The following is a 23,364-nucleotide window of genomic DNA, read 5'->3' as shown; positions in this document are numbered from 1 at the left end:
CTTCAGTTCTTCTCTGATCTTAGTTATTTCTTGTCTTCTGCTAGCTTTTGGATTAGTTTGCTCTTGCCTCTCTAGCTGTTTTAATTGTCATGTTAGGGTGTCAGTTTAAGATCTTTCTAACTTTCTGATGTGGGCATTTAGTGCTATAAATTTCCCTCTTAACACTGCTTTAGCTGTATCCTGGAGATTCTGGTACACTGTCTCTTTGTTCTTGTTGGTTTCAAAGAACTTCTTGATTTCTGCCTTAAGTTCATTATTTATCCAAGATTCATTCAGGAGCAGGTTGCTCAATTTCCATGTGATTGGTTTTGAGTGGGTTTCTTAATCCTGAGTTCTAATTTGATTGCATTGTGGTATGATTGTTTGTTATGATTTCAGTTCTTTTGCATTTGCTGAGGAGAATTTTACTCCCAATTATGTGGTTAATTTTAGAATAAGTGCGATGTGGCACTGAGAAGAATGTATATTCTATTGATTTGGGGTAGAGAACTCTGTAGATGTCTACTAGTTCCACTTGATCCAGAGCTGAGTTCAAGTCCTGAATATCTTTGTTAATCCTGTCTCATTGATCTAACACTGACAGTGGGGTGTTTAAGTCTCCCACTATCATTGTGTAGGAGCCTAAGTCTCTTTGTAGGTCTCTAAGAACTTGTTTTATGAATCTGGGTGCTCCTCTATTGGGTGCATATATTTAGAATAGTTAGGTCTTCTTGTTGAATTGTTCCCTTTACCATTATGTAATGCCCTTCTTTGTCTTTTTTTGATCTTTGTTGGTTTAAAGTCTTTTTTCAGGGACTAGGATTGCAACCCCTGGTTTTTCATTTGTTTGTTTGGTTGGTTGGTTTTCTTTTGCTTTCCACTTTCTTGGTAAATTTTCCTCCATCCTTTTATTTTGAGCCTGTGTGTGTCTTTGCATGTAAGATGGGTCTCCTGAATACAGCACACTGATGAATGTTGACTCCTTATCCAATTCGCTAGTCTGTGTCTTTTAATTAGGGCATTTAGCCCATTTACATTTAAGGTTAGTATTGTTATATGTGAGTTTGATCCTGCCATCATGATGCTATTTGGTTATTTTGCACACTAGTTGATGCAATTTCTTCATAGTGTCATTGGTCTTTATATTTTGGTGTGTTTTTGCAGTGGTTGGTATCAGTTTTTCCTTTCCATATTTAGTGCTTCATTCAGGAGCTCTTGCAACGTAGGCCTGGTGGTAATGCAATGACTCAGCATTTGCTTCTCTGGGAATAATTTTATTTCTCCTTCACTTATGAAGCTTTGTTTGGCTGGATATGAAATTCTAGGTTGAAAATTTTTTAATTTAAGAATGTTGAATATTGGCCCCCAATCTCTTCCAGCTTATAGGGTTTCTGCTGTTAGTCTGATGGGCTTCCCTTTCTAGGTGATCTGGCCTTTCTCTCTGGCTGCCCTTAACAGTTATTCTTTCATTTCGACCTTGGAGAATCTGATGATTACATGTCTTGGGGTTGATCTTCTCGCGGAGTATCTTAATGGTGTTCTCTGTGTTTCCTGAATTTGCATTTTGGCCTGCTAAGTTAGGGAAGTTCGCCTGGATAATATCCTGAAGAGTGTTTTCCATCTTTTTCATTCTCCCCATCTCCTTCCGGTACTCCAATTAATCATAAGTTCAGTCTTTTTATAAAGTCCCATATTTCTTGGAGGCTTTGTTCATTCCTTTTCATTCTTTGTTCTCCATTCTTGTTTGCATGTCTTATTTCAGTAAGGTGGCCTTCAAACTCTTATATCCTTTCTTCCACTTGGTCAACTTGGCTGCTGATGCTTGTGTATGCTTCATGAAGTACCCGCGCTGTTTTTTAGCTCCATCAGGTCTTTTATGTTCCTCTCTAAATTGGTTATTCTCATTAACAATTCCTCTAACATTTTATCAAGGTTCTTAGCTTCTTTGCATTGGGTTAGAACACGTTCCTTTAGCTCAGCATAGTTTTTTATTACCCATTATCTGATGCCTACTTCTGTCAATTCATCCATCTGATCCTCTGTCCAGTTCTGCACCCTTGATGGAGAGACGTTGAGATCATTTGGAGGAGTAGAGATACTCTGGCCTTTTGGGTTTTCAGCATGTTTTCATTGATTCATTCTCACGTTCATGAGTTTGTCTAGTTTCAGTCTTTGAGGCTGCTGACCCTAGGATGGGGGTTTTGTGGGGGCCTTTTTTATTGTTGTTATTGATGCTGTTGTTGTCACTTTCTGCTTGTTTGTTTTTCTTTCAATAGTCAGGTCCCTCTTCTGTAGGGCTGCTGCAGTTTGCTGGGGGTTCACATCAGGCCCTATTCACCTGATTCACCCCGTGCCTGGAGCTGTCACTCAAGGAAGCTGGAGAACAGGAAAGATGAGTGCCTGCTCTTTCTTCTGGGACCTCTGACCTCAAGGGGCACCAACCTGATGCCAGTAGGATTGCTCCTGTATAGGGTGTCTGACAACCCCTGTTCGAGGGTCTCACCCAGCTGGGTGGCATGAGGAGCAGGACCATTTAATGAAGCACTTTGTCCCTTGGTGGATGGGTTGTGCTTCGCTGAGGGGAAACCCCTTTGTCCTGGCTGCCTGGATTCCTCAGAACTACCAGGAGGAGAGGCTAAGTCTGCTGGTTCACAGAGACTGGGGCCACCCCTCCCCGTAGGGGCTCAGGCCCAGGGAGATTGGAATTCTGTCCCTGAGCCTCTGGCTGGAGTTATTGAAGATCCTGCAGGGAAGCCCCGCCCACTGAGGAAGGATGGGCCAGGGTTAGACCTGAAGAGGCACCTTGGCGGCCAACTGCCACAGCCAGTGTGTTGTGCTGTGGGGACAAATCTTGGGACCAAGGCATCCAGACTCCCTGGCTCCAGCAGGGGAAAGGCGCAGCCTGGAGCTATAGAAATGGGTGTTGCCCTTTCCCCTGCCCAGGGAGCTTAGCCTGTTAGGCAGTTGTGAGTCCCAGTGAAGGCTGCTGCCCCTCCCGCAAGGAGCTCAAATGGCTTAGACAGCAGGCCCCAGCAGCCAGTGCTGGTCGCCCCTCCCTCCCGGGAGCTCAGTAAGCTAAAGCAGATTCCAGCTGAGAGGCTATAAGAATCTGCGCATTCTGGGGTTGAGACGCTAGGTCCCAGTGGCGTGGGTTCACGAGTGGGATCTTCCAATCCGTGGGTTGCACAGTTCCATGGAAAAAGCACAGTTTCCCTGGCTAGGTAACTTGCTCACTCACTGCCTCCTTTGGCTGGTGGGAGGGGGATCCCTTTCCCTGTGTGGCTCTCAAATGGGCCACCAGGTCACACTGTTCTTCCTTCTCTCTGTGGGTCACACCAGCCTTCTAGTCAATTTTGATGAGAGAACCTGGATACCTTGGTTCCAGTGAAGGATTCACATGCTTATTATGTATTTTGTTGTTGGTGGTATTGTCGTTGTTGTTTTTTCTGATGGGAGCCTCCGAAAGCTGCTGCTTCTAGTTGGCCATCTTGGCCCCTCCCCAAAAGCTCTCCTCCTTGCCCTCTTCTAAGGCAACTACTAATCTGTTGTCTGTCAGTGTTACAGTGAATTGTCCTATTACATTGAATTATCTCTTTAAACTATGAAAAAGTATCCTTCTAAAAACCTTGATCACTTCTTATTTCAAGATTCAATAAAACCTAAGATGTGTTGTTCCTAAGTAACATTCCAGATCTCATTAAAATAAAATCTTAAAGTACAGCCAAATAAACACAAAATGCTAAAAGCAAAAACTTAAACAGAAATTTTCTTTTTGACAAGCAGCTGTGCCTCTTACAAAGTTATCTAAAGCCTTTGGCAGGAATCTAGGGCTGGGATGATCTATAGAGCTCTTTCAGCATCTCTATTCCTTCATTAGTTCTCACTTTCCAAATTAACGAGTGTCAATATTACATTTATTTATTTAAATTGTTATTCAGGTTCAGGGGTACATGTGCAGGTTTGTTACACAGATAAATTGCATGTCATGTGGGTTTGGTATACATACTATTTCATCATCAAGGTAATAAGCATCGTACCCAATAGGTAGTTTTTTTATCCTCACCCTCCTCCCACCCACCATTCTCAAGTAAGCCCTGGTATCTATTGTGCCCTTCTTTGTGTCCATGTGTACTCAATGATTAGCTCCCACTTATAAGTGAGAATATGTGGTGTTTGATTTTCCATTCCTGCATTAATTCACTTAGGATAACAGCCTCCAGCTCCATCTGTGTCCCTGCAAAGGACATGATCTCGTTCCTCTTTATGGCTGCATAGTATTCCATGGTATATACATATAACACATTTTCTTTATCCAGTCTACCACTGATGGGCATTTAGATTGATTCCATGTCTTTGCTATTGCAGGTAGTGCTGCAATGAATGTATGCATGCATGTGTCTTTATAGTAGAATAATTTATATTCCTCTAGCTATATACCCAATAATGGGATTGCTGGGTCAAATGGTAGTTCTGTTTTATGTTCTTTGAGAAATTGCCAAACAGCTTTTTCATAGTGGCTCAACTAATTTACCTTCCCAGTAGCAGTGTATAGGTGTTTCCTTTTCTCTGCAACCTTGCCAGCTTGTTATTTCTTGACTTTTTAGTAATAGCCATTCTGACTGGTATGAGATGCTATCTCATTGTGGTTTTGATTTGCATTTCTCTAACGATTAGTGATGTTGAGCATTTTTTCTTATGCTTATTGGCCATTTATAGGTCTTATTTTGAAAACTGTTCATGTCCTTTGCCTGTTTTTTAATAGGATTGTTTCATTTTTGCTTGTTAATTTGTTCAAGTACCTTATAGACTCTGGATGTTAGACCTTTCTCGGATACATAGTTTGCAAATATATTTTTCCGATTCTGTGGGGTGTCTATTTACCCTGTTGGTAGTCTCTTTGCTGTGAAGAGGCTCTTTAGTTTAATTAGGTCCCATTTGTCAAGTTTTTGTCTTTCTTGCAATTGCTTTTGGCATCTTCATCATGAAATCTTTGCCAGGACCTATATCTAGAATGATATTTCCTAGGTTTTCTTCAAGGGGTTTTATAGTTTTAGGTTTTACATTTGTCTTTAATCCATCTTCAGTTGATTTTTTAATATGGTGTAAGGAAGGGATCCAGTTTCAATCTTCTGCCTATAGCCAATCTGTTATCCCAGCACCATTTATTGATTAGAAAGTCCTTTCCCTATTGCTTGTTTTTGCTGATTTTGTCAAGATCAGATGGTTGTAGGTGTAGAGCTTTATTTCTGGGCTCTCAGTTCTGTTCCAATGGTCTATGTGTCTGTTTTTGCACCAGTACCATGCAGTTTGGCTTATTGTAGTGTTACAGTATAATTTGAAGTCCAGTAATGTGATGCACCCAGCTTTGTTATTTTTGCTTAAGATTGTTTCAACTATTCAGACTCTTTTTTGGTTCTATATCAATTTTAGAATAGTTTTTTTCTAATTGTATGAAGAAAGTCACTAGTAGTTTGATAGGAATAGCATCGAATCTGTAAATTGCTTTGGGCAGTATGCCCATGTTAAAAATATTGATTCTTTCTATTCATGAGCATGGAATATTTTCCATTTGTTTGTGTCATCCCTGATTTCTTTCAGCAGTGGTTTGTAATTCTTATTGTGGAAATCCTTCATCTCCCTGGTTAGCTGTATTCCTAGGTATTTTATTTCATACTACTTTTAAACTTCTAGGGAAGGAAAACACTTTCCAGCTAACTAAGCTACCAGTTAATAATCTGGTTTTATATTTAATAGTAAAAATTCATCATTTTCTTCTTCTCAAAAACATTACTCTCTCTCAGTTTATTTCATAAAATTTTCCATTATAATAATTTTCCATTATAAAAACAATGTATACTCATTATAAGAAATGTAAAACAGGTAGTAAAAAAAAAGAAGAAGAAAAACATTACTCCTGTACTTCCTGAACTAGAAATAACAATTTAGTTATATTGCCTTTCAGTATTCTTTATGTTCAGATTTTTGCTTCCGGATTGGTGTATGAATTCCATACTAAATGACCCTGTTTTTGAAATGAAATGTATTGACCTTATTCTTTGTTAATTATAAATATGGAAGTTGACTTTAAATTTTCTAATATCTATAAGAAGTATTTTATGAGACTTTTTTCTTATTCTCTACAATTTTTTAGAAGACATTTATAAAAAAGGCAGTAATTCTATAAATTTCCCTTAGAATCAAAAAACATTGAATAAGTCTACTACTTTGAATACAGCTGTGATAGTCATTAGTGGTGTTCCCCAAATATTTCTGATTCTTCACCTTTTGAGCAAATTGTTGGATTGTACTTCCTGGACCCCTTGTCATTAAGTGGGAGCCACATGACTAGTTCTGGACATGAGTTGTGAACAGAAGTGATGTATATCCTTTCTAAGCCAAGCCATTATGTGTGGCCTGACAAAGCCTCTTTCCCCTGCCACTGGAAGCACCGATGTTTATAATATTCCTGCTCTACCAGCCTGAGTCCCAAAATAAAGACATTTGAAGAAGAACCCACAACCAGCGCACAATAAGCTTGTTGTGTAGATGCAACGCAAGGTTTCATTTTTGAAATTTACCAAGGATTGCGGAATGGTTACAGCAGTATATTTTATCCTAATATATTTCATAGCTTTGTAACTTTTGTTGCATCAATTTCTATTTTATTCAAAGTGGATCCTTTTTCTTTTCTCATCAGTAACTAATATTCTGAATGTAGTTGGAAAGAATACAGAAAAAAGATTAATACTCTGAATATAGTTAGAAAGAATACAGAAATATTGTTATTTCTGATGGTTTTATGCTTGGTGATAAAAAGAGAGTAAAAGTTGGAGTCAGGACCATCACTAGGGTGTACAAATAATTGTTGTGGGGGCCCTATATTTAGAAAAAATCTGATGTGAGGTGAGGTCTGGTGATTTATGGATAAAGATTTAGAATAATGGGTAAATAAGAGGTACATATGTATATGTTTATATACACACAAACGCAGAAACACACACACACACACACACACACACACGCATATATACAATCTTCCAGTCATTGAATATGAAATGTATCCTGTCTGAAAATGAATGAGAGTTTCCCCAAAACAGCATGTCAGCATTATTCTGGCAACCCAGTATTATGCAATCCCATGAAATAAAATCCATGCCAATCCGTGGGAACAATCCACCACCAAGCTGTTCTCCTGGAAATGGGCCTGGCTATGGAGGACTCTCATAGTTTTATTAGTCTGAGTCTTAGCGCTCCTCCAGGCATCTGGTGTGGGGGAGAGAGGAGTATTAGCAAATGGGAAGTAGCCCCAAGGGGAGAAAGAAAAAGCAGGAACAGGGCACACTTGGGTCCTGGTCTGGTCTTAGAGCACTCCCTCCCCTCCCCAGACAGCACTGCTAGTTCTGGACAGTCCCGGTCTCCAGTGGGGGACTTACAACATGTCAAAGAAGGCACTCCAGCCCACTCGTGTGGGTTCCCAAAAGTGGTAAGATATGTCCATGCCCTTCAGAAGATAATTATCCAGCAGGAGGGACCCATTTGAAAATTATACAAAGTGACAAGTGTGGCCGGGTGCGGTGGCTCACACCTGTAATCCCAGCACTTTGGAAGGTCAAGGCAGGCAGATCACTTGAGGTCAGGAGTTCGAGACCAGCCTGGCCAAGATGATGAGACTCCATCTATAATACAAACACAAAAAAGTCAGGCATGGTGGTGCATGCCTATAATCCCAGCTACTCAGGAGGCTGAGGCAGGAGAATTGTGCAGGCGGAGGCTGCAGTGAACCTAGATAACGCCACTTCACTCCAGCCTGGGGGACAGATTGAGACTCTGTCTAAAAAAAATAAAAATAAAAAAAATAAGTGACAAGTGTTCTTTTAGAGATAGAGTTAAACTGCTTTGTCATGCAAAGTCAAAATCTACAATATTGATAAGGTTCTCTATAGGCATATGGGCAACTGTATCTTCATGTCCTCTAATAGATACCTTATATTGATTTTTTTCAAGTTTTTTTTTTCTTGAGGACACATCAGGGCTAGAAGAGGAAGAAAGCAATAATTCTTCTCTTACCAGTGCCCATTTCAATAGCATAGATTGGAGTCATTATTCTAAGACTTTATTGTGCAAAAGAATCATCCTCAGAATATCAGATAATGCGGCCCAGGCAATTCTGTTTCTAAGAAGCACTTCAGGTGATTGAAGTGAACCATAGCTTGAGAAACACAAAGCTAGAGACAGACTCATAAGCATCCTCACCTTTTGATATAAAGAATTATGTTAACAAAGCAAATAAATTATGTAGAATCCTGGGAGTGTTGAATACAAAAGTTTAATGACTTTTAGGTTATATTATTGGCCCCTCTGTGACTGGGAGAGATGGAAAAAGATTTAGATCCAGGGACCTTTTCAATAGTAAGGAATGATCTTTCCAGAAGTTGTTCTAAGGGCTTTATTATGTATTAAACTTATTTATATATAATCTTTACAACAACTTAAGAAGGTAGGTTCTTAACACATAAAAAAACTGAAAAACTGACAGTATAAGTAACTTGTCCAAGGTCACATGGCTAATAGGCGGAGACCTGAGATTCCAAACTAGGCGTTTCCTACACTAGTGTCCATGTTCCTACTCACTGCATTGTACTATTATTGAGTACATAAACAGAAATGCTGGCTGCTACCAATAATCACTGGGGTGGCTCTTCGCATATTCTAAGGCATATCCCAGTAAACATCAGGGTGAAAAAGTCATAATACAGCTTTACATTTTAGATGCCTAACCACATTAAAGCAGTACTTTCCAATCTGGTTACACATTAAAATGACCTGAGGAGCTTTTAAAATATTTCAGTGTCCAGCTCCACTACCGACAAATAAAATCAGAATATCTAAGGGGGAAGCCTGGCTTAAGTACTTTTTAAAAAGTTCCCCAAATAATTTTAATATGATACCATTGCATTAGACACTTAAAAACACATTTTAATTAAAATTTAAAAACATTCATATCTTTGCAGATGGCCCCCTTTTGTTTTGTTTTAAGAAGATGAAAGAACATTTACTATATTCTACATATGGTTTGTGGAGTGTTTTGCAGTGGCCTGAATTGAAATGCTTAATTATCAATATGTGCGTAGTTATAAATTTGTTCAGAGTTTTATTTATCTTTTTATTAAAAGGGATTTGGAGATAATAATGTGATGATCAATTGTTTAGAATAACAATTAAGTAGTGTGATGACTCTTAGGGCATTTAGAAGCCATTCTCTCCTAATTTCCTGATTCTAGATAATTTCCCTTTATTCAAAGGTAAACTATAATTGTTTCAGAACACACTTATGCCTACTGGATGAAATGCCAGATTTCTTCACATTCTCTTTTTGGATCAAGTCCATCTGAGTAGCCAGGGTCCTTTATCTATACCTGACACTTTTAAAGTTTTGTATGAAACATCTGTTTTTCATTTTTAAAATGTCAACTTGTCCATCTTGAATGGGCATTGGGTAAAGGAGACAAATCCTGCTTTGTCTAAAGAGCCCATCTTGATTGTTATGCCAAAACCATATTTCCTCCATTAATCAGATTCCTTAACAACTTGCCAGCAAAGGCAGTGGGCAGTGGATAATCCTGCGGTGCAACTTCTATGTTAACCACTCCAGAGAATACTGTGTAGGGGACAGTAAAGTGTGCTTTCTCTCCAAAGTGTTGTTTTCCTACTACATCTTGTTCTTTACTCTACAATTTAAGTATCACAAAAGAGATCCAGGGAGATTTAAAAATAATGGCTGTTGATCCTTTCAGCCACCCTGCCCCGCTGCCATAACCCTCTCCCCGCAGAATCACTACTCTTTGTACTCAGCTGAGCTGATGGCCTTCTGTATTTCCCATCGGAAGGCCTAGCCCAGGAGCTACAGCCTCAGGGATTCTTTTATTACTGAAAAGATCTTTATAAAATGATATTTAGGAGACTAGACCCTCAACTCAACTCTGAGCCTCATAAAGACCCTCTTTTCCTCCCTTTATGCAACCCCCCGGGATATGGAGCCTCACAGTTTTTCCAAGAAGTGGTAGGGATGAATTAGAGTAGAATTTCACTACTGCTCAGACACTCTCCATGATGGTAAAAATCTTTTTTCACCATGCTCAATCCAAACACAAGGCCATTATTCTAACTTGACAGTAATACAGGTGAAGAGAATTCGGGGATGGCATGCCTCTAACAGGAGCTAGAAGAAACTGCTCAAGCAGACTAGGAGTAGTGGCCCAGGCCCATCTTCTAGGGTTCCACATGCTTTCATGGGTCAGAACCCATGTCACCTCTTCCTTTGCCAAGCATATAACACATGACTTATAGATGTTTGTTTGGTAAATGTTTACTGATGAATGAAAGTAGAAGTCAGAAAAGGGTAATGGGCATATTTTGGCAATTGTTGAATTGGGGAAATTGGTTGCTTAGAGCAAAAAACAAAATGACATTTTCACTTGTAGACTGCATTCCATGACTACATGGGTCTTGGTCATTTTTCAATGCCCCCAGCTCCCTAAATCTGGCAAGATTTATGAATTCGCAGAACTCTCTGCCAAGTCACATGTGCAAGCTGGCCTTAGCTTAGCAACAGTGGCTCCAATGCTTCCAATGAAATTTTTTTTTCAGCTCTGCCTTTCTGGTTGGCTGTCAGCATGATCTCATTAAGGCTGAGTGACCCAGGCCTGACTATGGCAGCTCACACTGCTGGTATGCTGCTACTGTTTTCTCTCCCAAGACATCTGCTTCAGCCCTGCTTCAGATAATACTTCATTATGTCCTGGAAATGTTTCTTACCACTTTGTGCACCATTGTGTGTTGTTCTCTTTGAAGTTAATGTGAGTCTTATGTGATGATATGATATACATCAGAGTGTACCTAAAAATTATGGCTTACTGCATAAAAAAATTAGAAAGATCCTCTTTTCATTTGTTAAATTCAAAGCAACAGAACTCTAGTCTTCCTTTAGAAATGCAGGCAGTTTGCTTAGAGATTGAAGAGAGAAAGAGGAAAATAGTTTTTCTTACCCCTGCATATCAGACCTTCAAAGTGAGTAAGGAACACTCATGCATCTGGGGAAGTGATGGGCTTACTCATTGTTTATGGATCTTAAAGTCCCTAATAAGACTCTGGAAATACCCATATAACAAATGTTTAAGTTAGAAAAAAAAAGTGTTTCACATTCTACATTATGACTATGGGTGAGTATCTATTAGGACCCTAACTGTCTTTAAACCACCAAGCTATATAGGGGCTGTGTCAATAGTTCTTATATCTATAAATATTTGGTAATGAGCAAAATATTTAGACAGCAATAGTTAAGGTTTAGAGTATTTTTACTATTTAGGAGGTAGTGGGCTAAACATATGGCATAGATTTTCTACCTTATAAGTTAATGGTGTTGCATTTTCTACATTTTGCAGATGGGGCAACTGAGTAATTGACAAAATAGGTAACTTACTTGCCCAAAGGTTAGTCAGTGTCTATGAATCATAGACTTCTACGAATGTGATTTCCATGGATATGGTTAACAGAGTGTGCCCCGGCCTCCCAGCAGGCTGCAACCAGGGCACACTCTGTTAACCATATCCATGGAAATCACATTCATAGAAGTCTGGGAAAGCAGAAGATCTGCTCTTGGGTCTGGTGGAACTGCAGATTACCAGTGGGACAGTAACTGTTTTTCCTTGTAATCTCCATTTGAGTCTACTCTGCATCCAATTCTGTCAGCTCCCTATGTTCTCTGAGACATTGACCTAATTTATTCACCTTCACAAAGCAGATTATTGATGGGAGACAAAAAAGAAAATAAGGAGAAATTTATGCTAGATCTATCTCTGTGCTAGGCCAATTTACAGCAGATATCCAGCATGTAGCTATTGAATTCTGAGTTTATATGAACAAAGTTTCTATATACCAGAGGATATTTGCCACCAAAGAGCTGCAAATCCATGAGTGCCAGCTTCAATACTAATATATCAATGGTAGTTCTTCTTAAATTTTTAAAATTCACTATAAGGAGAAAGTACTACTTTTATTTTTAATCAGAAAAAAATTTAACATGGTTAATGAAGTTTTTTAGATTTCTCATAATTTTAGTCAAATAATATTTTCAGGGATTCCTTGTCAAACTAATAGTTGAGTAATGACATGTGGAATATTGCATCACCAAAAATGTTTTCTAACTATATTGCCTCCCCTCCTCCTTATTTTTTCTATCGACTACAGGGTAGGAGCCTAGGTGACTTGATATTTTCTGTTTCTGGAGAAAAATATATGTAGAAAAAATAACTTTCAAGTCATTTTTATCCTCAAACTGTAATATTGGCCCTATGTTCCCAGTGGTAAAAAAAAAAAAAAAAAAAAAAAGGAGAAAGGAAGGAAGGGGGTAAAAGATGGCAGAATTCAATTTGAGACTGACCAAGAAGAAATAAAGAGATCAGGAATATGTCAAGTGTGCTTTCAGATATCAAATTTCAAACTAGTACTCCCATTGCAAATCACTCACAGTATCCTCTATCACCTGTAACTTTGTGAAAGCATAAACTAAGGCAGCAAGGATGGTACATGTCAGGTGTCTTTGAATCAACTGCTTCATGCAGTACATACTCACAATGGATACGAACTAAGACCTTGACAAATCTCCAAACCCATAACTACCACCAATGTCCTGTTTTCCCCTGAAAATGCTCTGAAGGATATACTTTATTGAACACTTTGAGTTACCTCTTTGATTCAATTTGAATTTTTCATAGTGAAAGCATGAGAAAACTCAATGTCAAAGTAGCTAGAAAGCAAAGGAAATCAATTTTCTCATGTGACTGAAAATACAGAGCTCTCCTCAACAGCCTGACTGAGGTCATCAGGACCTGAGTGTTCCCTCTCCCTTGCCCTCCCCTACTCCTCACCCTCATCCCACTTCTCTACTTGGCCCCCTCAGTGCTGCAGTTGGAAAGAGAGATGAAGAGAGCTGGACATCGGTGAGGGCCTCAGCTCTCTTCTTTCTTGGTGTTAAATTTACAGAGTCGTGGGGGAAGTAGGGCAAGGGAAATAAACCACAACATTCTGAGATCAGAGGAGCTTACCTCCCAGAATACAGGGGGAGGGGTAAAGGTAACTCAGATTCTCAGAGACAATAAAAACCACCAGGAGGTTGAGTGAGCAGCAAGAGATCTTAAACTGTGGCCCTTCACCAGAATAGACAGTGAGTCACACAGTGCCCAACAAGGACTGACGCCAGCACCCAGAAACTACAAGACAATGCAGAAACCACAAGATGCCTCATTCTCAGCACAGGGACAATGCAGAAGCTTCCTCTTGTTGCCCAAGAGAAGCAAAGGGAATCGGAGATGACAAAGGCCCAGCAGAGAGGAACTTTGGAAAATTGAAGTATTTAATAAAAATAAACTTTATTATCCTATGAGCCCCTGTGTAAATTAGCAATAACTGAATTAATCTTTGATAGGTAAGATTAAGAATCTTTCTGGTTTTTGACCCCATTGAAAGAGGTCTTGTCTGTTGACTAAACACAGTCCTCAAAAGAAGTTATCTGTTCCTCTAGCACATTGTACCAAATTTATCATCTCCAACTCCACCCTGTTTCTGGAGCCTCTTGATAGCATATCCTATCAAAACTAGTTTGGAAGTGCTTCAGACCAAGCCGTCTGCCTGAGTCCCCTGACATATTCCTGTAATCTTGTTCCCTTAACTCTGTCATCCCAAGGTTTCACATCTAGAAGACTTGGCAACAAGTCCAGGATTTTTGGCCTTCCTTGACCTATCTTGCCTAAAGCATTATTTTATCAGCCTCTTCCTTCATCACATTTCTCCTTGTCGTCTGATCCAGAGAGCAATGTCACTGTCCTCTTTACTATATGTGGCTCCTTTTCCTTTGGTGTCTTCCACATTAACCAGGCCATGCTCTCTTAAAGCCTTCTTCATTCCAGGCAAGCTGGCTCTTTTCCTTTCTTAACGCTGTGATTATATCAACACAGAGCATGATTAGCAGGTGGTGAGCTGAGGATTGCTTCAAGTACACAATATGAGCTTGCGATATTGTTCTCAGTAGCTATTGATCTTCTTTTGTGATATTGTTCTCAATATATCTATTGTCCTCCAAGTAATCATTGAGGCTCTGGATGTCTAAAAATGGATGTGCAGTTTTCTGAAGCCTGTGGCGGTATCTGTATCTGGGAGCTGGGTAGCAGTTGAGGGAAAGAGATTAAGATTTCTTTTGACTCTTTTTACTTGGAGGGTTTATTGGTTTATTTATCTGTTTCATTTAGTTTTTTTTTTTCCTGCTGCCTAGCAGAAATGAGGATTCAGAAGCAAATTAAATTCCATTTTAAAAAATTAAACACAGTGCTCTGTTTCTGTGCACCTGTGTTGTGACTATGCTGTAAACTCACTGAAGTTTCAATCAATGCTCTGCCACTTAATTAGCTTTTTGACCTTGGGTTTCTGTAGCTCAGTTTCCTCATCTTCAAATAAAGGTAATAATAGTGCTTTCCTGAGGGACATATTGTATCAAATGAGAAAATCAATGTAAATGCCTCAGTTCAGTGCTATGCCTATAGGAAGCACTTAACAAAAATGAATTATTTTTATTCATGTAAATCTTCTGCATTCATTGCCTTATGTGACAGTTAGTTATCATGGAGCAATCTAAGGACTGATTTTGAGAGCATACAGTTAGGATATAACCCAGGATTTGTGGGCTCATGACAGAAAGTGTCAATCAGGGAAAAAAATAAAGATCACTCCTAGAGAGAAGGGACAGAGTAAGAAATGAAAGAACGTGGAGGTAGCATTAGAGAAATTCCCACAGGTGGTTCCTTTTGGCTCGAGTATCATTGTGCATGGAGAATGGGACATGAATCTGGAAAGTGCATAAGGAAGAGTCAAGGTAGATCACTTAGGAAGGTCCGCCAGGAATAAAGAGAATATTAACTAAGGCAACAACAAACAAGTTAGTCAGAAATGAAAGGTGAGAAGGTCTGGGCGAATGAACACACATCTGAGAGATATTCAAGAAATAGAATTCTTAGGTTTTGATTACTGATTAGATATGCAGGGGTTGGGGAGGTGATAAAGAAGAAAGAGAAGAAAAGGTTAAAGATAACTCTCTGTTTCTGACTTGGTGGCATAACTGGTTAGATTGTTAGATGTGGGTCTAGACTCCAAAATAAGGAACACATGAAAAGGAGCAAGCTTGAATGGAGATGCAAATAATTCAGTTATAGTTAGGTTGAGGTGGAGGAGCCCATGTTGGAAAGATAAGTTAAATATGCTGTAATTCATTTTTAAAAATGGATTTGACATTTAGGAAAAAGGTCTGGTTTAGAGATATGCATTTGGGCGCCATCAGCACCTATCTCATTCATAGATGAGATTGCCAAGGAAACAGGGACTGGAAAAAAAGGACTAATGACAGAACAGTAGAGAGCTCTGACCTTGGCCCAGCGTGGTGGCTCATGCCTATACTCCCAGCACTATGGGAGGCCAAGGCAGGGGATCACAAGGTCAGGAGTTTGAGGCCAGACTGGCCAAAATGGCAAAACCCCGTCTCTACTAAAAATACAAATATTAGCTGGGCATGGTGGCACACACCTGTAATCCCACCTACTCAGGAGGCTGAGGCAGGAGAATCAGTTGAACCTGGGAGGCAGAGGTTGCAGTGAGCCAAGATCATACCACTGCACTCCAGCCTGGGTGACAGAGTGAGACTCCATTTCAAAAAAAAAAAAAGAGATTGAGAGAGAGAGCTCTGACCCTTAGGATGAGTAGGGACAGAGGATCCCATGAAGGAAGTCATTTGAAGTGGACAGAAGGTTAATCTAGAAATCAATATAGTAGCAACTTGGGAAAGAAGGGGATATTTAATAGGCCAGATGCTTCAGAAGTTTCAAAGGTACCCATTCTTGGTTTCTGGGGAATAAGAAACAAATAGAATGCGAGGGTGTAGTTTTAGGCTTTACATTCTTCCTAAAATCTTAAATAGTATAGCCATTCACTGCTTTCCCCATCCTCATTCTTTGTCCCCAGTCATTACAGTTGATTCTGTTGCTACCTCTCAATATCTAGAGTCACCCACCACTTTGGTTTTGTTCTACTCACTTCCTTTCTGCTGATTCCTCTTTTCCTCTCTCCTCCTTACAGTTCCCATGCAAGCTCTTTACCTCATTACTCTTCCTGGTACCCTCATTATTTTTCAACAGTATTCTACCTGGACTTTATGCCTTTAATCCCTTTACAACATCCATTTTCAAGGCTTTTTAACATATGTTTATATGTTAAAAGCTACCCCTCTTGATGTGTATTATACTTTCATATACTTAAGACTCTGCATAACCTGCTGAACCCCAGTAGTATCCACGGCTCCCTCCCAGCTTTCTGAATACACTACAGTTTGTTCCCGCTAGGCCCAGGCTCATTGCACAGTGCATTCCTTCTTCCTGAAACACTCTTCACCTTCCATTAACCTACCTCTCACTTGACCTTTTCCTCTCAGCTTAAATGGCACATCCTCTTTTGAGATCCCTACCCTGACCCTTAACATGGGGAAGGAGTTTCCTCTGGGTGTTCCCATATGTGTCTGTGCTTATCCCATCATACAAGTTAGCACATTTAATTGTAATGATCTCATGCTATTTTCCTTGTAAAACTGGGAATTTCTCAAAGATCCTATTTTCTTTATCAATATATACTCTGCATATAGAAGGAACCAACTAATATTTGTTGAATGGAGTAAGAACTATGTAATCACATAAAAGTTGATTACAATATAAAATATGAAACTGGACTACATGTACAAATTACAACAATTATATAAAACATATTCATATGTACATAAAGTATCAGAACACATGCAAAAAATGCTATAACTGTATGAGAGTTATATGAAAGATTGTATAAGGGCAGTGATATTAGAGGTGATTATCTTTAACTTTTTTCCTTTAATTTTCTAGATTGTCAGTGATTTCATTACAAGTTTTATAAGAAATACATAATATTTAAAAAATACATTGTCGTATTTTTCCAGGGCCGGGCATGGTGGCTCACACCTGTAATCCCAGCACTTTGGGAGGCTGAGGCTGGCAGATCACGAGGTCAGGAGATTGAGACCATCCTGGCTAACACAGTGAAACCCCGTCTCTACTAAAAATACAAAAAATTACCCGAGCGTGGTGGCAGGTGCCTGTAGTCCCAGCTACTCAGCTGGGACCAGGCTGAGGCAGGAGCATGGTGTGAACCCGGGAGGCGGAGCTTGCAGTGAGCCGAGATCGTGCCACTGCACTCCAGCCTGGGTGAAAGAGTGAGACTCTGTCTCAAAAAAAAAAAAAAAAAAAAAAAAAATTGTCATATTTTTCAGTAGTTAATAAAGAACAACTACACTTGGGTATATACCCAGTAATGGGATGGCTGGGTCAAATGGTATTTCTAGTTCTAGATCCCTGAGGAATTGCCACACTGACTTCCACAATGGTTGAACTAGTTTACAGTCCCACCAACAGTGTAAAAGTGTCCCTATTTCTCCACATCCTCTCCAGCACCTGTTGTTCCCTGACTTTTTAATGATTGCCATTCTAACTGGTGTGAGATGATATCTCATAGTGGTTTTGATTTGCATTTCTCTGATGGCCAGTGATGATGAGCATTTTCTCATGTGTTTTTTGGCTGCATAAATGTCTTCTTTTGAGAAGTGTCTGTTCATGTCCTTTGCCCACTTTTTGATGGGGTTGTTTGTTTTTTTCTTGTAAATTTGTTTGAGTTCGTTGTAGATTCTGGATATTAGCCCTTTGTGAGATGAGTAGGTTGCGAAAATTTTCTCCCATGTTGTAGGTTGCCTGTTCACTCTGATGGTAGTTTCTTTTGCTGTGCAGAAGCTCTTTAGTTTAATTAGATCCCATTTGTCAATTTTGGCTTTTGTTGCCATTGCTTTTGGTGTTTTGGACATGAAGTCTCCCATTACTGGGTATATACCCAAATGACTATAAATCATGCTGCTATAAAGACACATGCACACGTATGTTTATTGCGGCATTATTCACAATAGCAAAGACTTGGAACCAACCCAAATGTCCAACAATGATAGACTGGATTAAGAAAATGTGGCACATATACACCATGGAATACTATGCAGCCATAAAAAATGATGAGTTCATGTCCTTTGTAGGGACATGGATGAAATTGGAAACCATCATTCTCAGTAAACTATCGCAAGAACAAAAAACCAAACACAGCATATTCTCACTCATAGGTGGGAATTGAACAATGAGATCACATGGACACAGGAAGGGGAATATCACACTCTGGGGACTGTGGTGGGGTGGGGGGATGGGGGAGGGATAGCACTGGGAGATATACCTAATGCTAGATGACAAGTTAGTGGGTGCAGTGCACCAGCACGGCACATGTATACATATGTAACTAACCTGCACAATGTGCACATGTACCCTAAAACTTAAAGTATAATAAAAAAAAAGAACAATTACACTAATATACTTAAATGTTTCTTTATAAAATATTTTATTTATTGGAATATTTCCAAGCATGAATTACTCTTACTCTAACATAACTTTGAGCCTGGAAAACGTAAGAGAGTGGGATGATAAAAACAGAAATTCTAAAATTTACTTTCTTAGATCCTTTTTAAAATCAGATCTTGTCCTTAATGATTCCCCTTTGTGGGTGCTCTCCTTCTGCCCATTTCTGATATACACTTTTGCAAACTAAGATGCCTGCTGTTTTAACTTGAACTACATAACGAAAAAGTTAAATTCACCTTATACCTTGCCCAGTCTGCCCTACTCAAAAGAGACAAACTTAAGGTTGTTTGTGATGCAAAATATTTAGTTTTGACCTATGAAACAAACCAGTAATTTTGTTGGCCTTTGAAACAAACCATTAAACTTTGAGGTAAAAAGTAATAATTTAATATTCAATGTTTGTTAACTGTATCTTCACCTAAAATCTTAGTCTCACCCTCTCTCTGGCTCTACCCAATTTCTACTCTCTGTGCCTCAGACACAGAAATGGAATTGGCTCAGGAAATTCTTCAGGGTATTTCCCAAACTTCTTGCCAACCTTTAATATCATCAAATATTTTCTTTAGTTTTTTTAATCTAATGGGTAATTTTTTTTATTTCCCTAACTACTAGATCACAGTAAAAAGTTTAAATAATATAGAATAAAGCCAGGCATGGTGGCTTATGTCTGTAATCCCAGTGCTCTGGGAGGCTGAGACAGGAGGATTGCTTGAGGCCAGGAGTTTGAGGCCAGTCTGAGAAACACAGCTAGACTCTGTCTCTACAAAAAAGTTATTAAGACTAGCCAGAAGTGATGGCACACACTTATAGTTCCAGCTACTTGGGAAGCTAACCTGGAGTTTGTCAATGTATACATATATTTATTTTTGTGTGAGTAAATCTTTTGATTTGTTCCTGTGTGCTTCAGAATTTTGTGTTTTGCTTAGGAATTTTCCATATTACAAGGCAAAAAAGATAGTCTTTTATTCTCTTTTCTGTTTTAAATATTGATTTTTAATATTGAGATATGTTATTTAGTGAATTGATTCATTATTTATTTTATGTTTAATTTTTGTGGGTAGAAAGTAGATGTATATATTTATGGGGTACATGAGATATTTTCACACAGGCATACAATGCATAATAATCACAGCAGGGTAAATAGGGTGTCCACCACCTCAAACATTTATCCTTCCTTAGTGTAACAAGTGATCCAATTGTACTCTTTTAGTTATTTTTCAATGTACAATAAATTATTATTGACTGCACTCATCCTGTTGTACTATAAAATACTAAGTCTTATTTATTTTTTTACCAATTATCCATCTCCACGTCTCCCCTCCCACTACCCTTCCAAATCTCTGGTAGCCATTTTTCTACTATCTTCAAGAATTCAGTCATCGTTTTACTTTTCTTAGGTCCTACAAATAAGTAAGAACATGCAAAGTTTGTTTTCCTGTGTTTTGCCTATTTCACTTCACATAATGTCCTCTAGTTCCAAACATGTGGTTGCAAATGACAGGGTCTCTTTTTTATAGCTGTATAGTACACCATTGTGTATACATACCACATTTTCCTTATCTATTCATCGGTTAATGGATACTTAGATTGGTCTAAATCATGGCTATCGTGAATAGTACTGCAATAAACGTGAGAGTGCAAATACATCTTCAATACACTGATTACCTTTCTTTTGGGTATATATCTACCAGTAGGATTGCTAGATCGTATGACAGTTTTATTTTTAATTTTTGGGAAACCTACATACTATTGTCCATAGTGGTTTCACTAATTTACATTCCACCAAACAGTGTAGAAGACTTTTCTTTCCTCCACGTCTTTGTCAGCATTTGCTATTGCCTATCTTTTGGATAAAAACCACTTTAAGGAAGACAATATCTTACTGTAGTTTTGATTTGCATTTTCCTGATGATCAGTTATGTTGGGCACCTTTTCATATATCTGTTTGCCATTTATATGTCTTCTTTTGAGAAATGCCTATTGACACCTTTGCTCATTTTTAATCAGACTGTTAGATTTATTTTCCTATTGAGTTGTTTGAGTGCCATATATACTCTGGTTATTAATCCTTTTTCAGATAATAGCTTGCAAATATTTTCTCCCATTCTGTGGGTTGTTTCCTTACTTTGTTGATTGTTTTCTTTGCTGTGCAGAAGCTTTTTAACTTTGTGTGATCAGATTTGTCCATTTTTGCTTTGGTTGCCTGTGCTTGTGGGCTATTATTTAAATCATTGCCCAGATCAATGTCCTGGATAGTTTCCCCAATGTTTTCTTATAGTAGTTTCATAGTTTTAGGTCTTTGATTTAAGTCTTTAATCCATTTTGGATTTGATTTTTGTATATGACAAGAGATAGGAGTCTAGTTTCATTATTCTGCATATGGATATCCAATTTTCCAAGCACTATTTATTGAAGAGGTTGTCCTTTCCTCAGTGAATAACCTAGGCAGCTTTGTCAACAATGAGTTCACTGTAGGTGTGTGCATTTGCGTCTGTGTTCTCTATTCTGTACTATTGGTCTATGTGTGTGCTTTTATGCCAGTACCAGGCTGTTTTGGATACTATAGCTTTGTAGTATAATTTGCAGTCAGACAATGTGATTCCTCCAGTCTTTTGTGGTTTTACAGAAATTTTAGGGTGTTTTTTCCTATTTCTGTGAAGAATATCATTGGTACTTTTAAAGAAATTGATTGAACCTATAAATTGCTTTGAGTAGTGTGGACACTGACAATATTGATTCTTCCAATCCATAAACATGAAATATCTTGCCATTTGTTGTGTATCCTCTTCAATTTCTTGAAAAATATTTTATAGCTTTAATTGCAGAGATGTTTCCCTTTTTTGGTTGAATTTATTCCCAGGTATTTTATTTTATTTGTAGCTATTATAAGTGGGATTATTTTCTTGATTTTGTTGTCAGATTGTTCAGTATTGGCATATAGAAATGCTATTGATTTTTGTAAGTTGATTGTACATCCTACAAATTTACTGAATTTATCAGTTTGAATAGTTTTTCTGCACAGTCTTTAGGTTTTTCTGAATATAAGACCATATTATCTACAAACAAGGATAATTTGACTTTTTCCTTTCCAATTTGGATGCACTTTCTTTCTTTCTTTTGTCTGATTGGTCTAGTTAGGACTTCCAGTACTATGTTGAGTAACAGTGGTGACGGTGGGCATCCTTGCCATATTCCAGATCTTAGAGGAAAGGCTTTTAGTTTTTCAGAATGACACTAACTGTAGGTATATCATATATGACTTTCATTGTGTTGAGGTATGTCCCTTCTATCCTCAGTTTTTGAGTCTTTTTATTACGAAGAGATATTGAAATTTATCAAATGCTTTTTAGCATCAGTTGAAATGATCATATGTTTTTGTCCTCCATGCTGTTGATGTGATGTATCTTGTTGATTAATTTGCATATGTTGAATCATCCTTGCATCCCTTAAATCCCACTTGGTCATGACGAATGATCTTTTTAATGTGTTGTTGAACTCAGTTTGCTAGTATTTTGTTTGGAATTTTTGCATCAATGTTTATCAGGGATATTGGCCTGTAATTTTCTTTTTTGAAGTGTCTTTGCTTGGTTTTGATATCAGGGTAATACTAGCCTTGTAGAATGAATTTGGAAGTATTCTTTCCCTCTGTTTTTCAGAATAGTTTGAGTAGGATTGGTATTAGTTCTTCTTTAAATGTTTGCTAAAATTCAGCAGTGAAGCCATGTGGTTCTGAGGTTTTCTTTGCAGGGAGAATTTTATTACAACTTTAATCTAATTGCTTATTATTGGTCTTATCAGGTTTTTAATTTCTTCATGGTTCAATCTTGGTAGGTGATATGTGTCTAGGAATTTATCCATTTATTCCCAGTTTTCCAATTTATTGGCATATAGTTGCTCATATTACTCTCCAATGATTCTTCAAATTTTTATGGCATTGGTTGTAAGGTTTCCCTTTTTATCCCTGATTTTATTTGCTTGGGTTTTCTCTGTTTTTTTCTTAGTTGGGCTAAAGTTTTGTCAAATTTGTTTATCTTTTTGAAAAACCAACTTTTTGTTTCATTGATCTTTGCTATTGCTTTTTTTGTTGTTGTTTCAGCTTCATTTATTTCTGCTCTGATATTTATTATTTCTTTTTTTCTACTAATTTTGATTTTGGTTTGCTCTTGCTTTCAAGTTTGTTACGATGCATCATTAGGTTGTTTATTTGAAGTTTTTCTGCTTTTTTGATATAGTTGCCTATTGCTATAAACATTCCTTGTAGTACTGCTTTTGCTGTATCCCACAGGTTTCCATATGTTGTATTTCCATTTGCATTAGTTTAAAATTTTTTTTCAATTTTTTTCTTAATTTTTTCATTGGCCTACTGGTCCTTTCAGGGCACATTGTTTAATTTATATGTGTTGTATGTATAGTTTCCAACATTTTTCCTGTTATTGATTCCTAGTTTTTTACCTTTGTTGTTAGAGAAGATACTTGATATAATTTTTTTTTTGAATTTTTTAAGATGTGTTTGTAGCTTAACATATGTTCTATCCTTGAGAATGATCCATGTGCTGAGGAGAAGAATGTGTATTCTGGATTCATTGGATGAATGTTCTGAAAACAACTATTAGGTCCATTTGGTCTATAGTGCAGATTAAGTCCAGTGTTTCCTTGTTTATTATTTTTTTCTGGATGCTCTGTCTAATGCTGAAAATCAGGTGTTGATGTCTCCAACTGCTATTGTACTGAGGTCTATCTCTTCAGCACTAATATTTGCTTTATATATGTGGGTGTTCCAGTTGGGTGCATATAAATTTATAATTGTTATATCCTCTTG

At 38.1% G+C, this 23,364-nt stretch overlaps 1 annotated feature.

The window, feature by feature from the left end:
* Positions 12,743 to 13,428: an enhancer, noted in NCBI's record as "OCT4-NANOG hESC enhancer chr4:111985445-111986130 (GRCh37/hg19 assembly coordinates)". NCBI's record gives its function as "activates a minimal SCP1, AML or CMV promoter by ChIP-STARR-seq in primed H9 embryonic stem cells {active_cell/tissue: H9 hESC(primed)}" and the evidence as "EXISTENCE:reporter gene assay evidence [ECO:0000049][PMID:30033119]".

Source organism: Homo sapiens, chromosome 4 (assembly GCF_000001405.40).
Source record: "Homo sapiens chromosome 4, GRCh38.p14 Primary Assembly".
Classification (NCBI taxonomy): domain Eukaryota; kingdom Metazoa; phylum Chordata; class Mammalia; order Primates; family Hominidae; genus Homo; species Homo sapiens.
The sequence above is the reverse complement of the archived record's forward strand: the minus strand, read 5'-3'. Positions and strand labels throughout refer to the sequence as shown.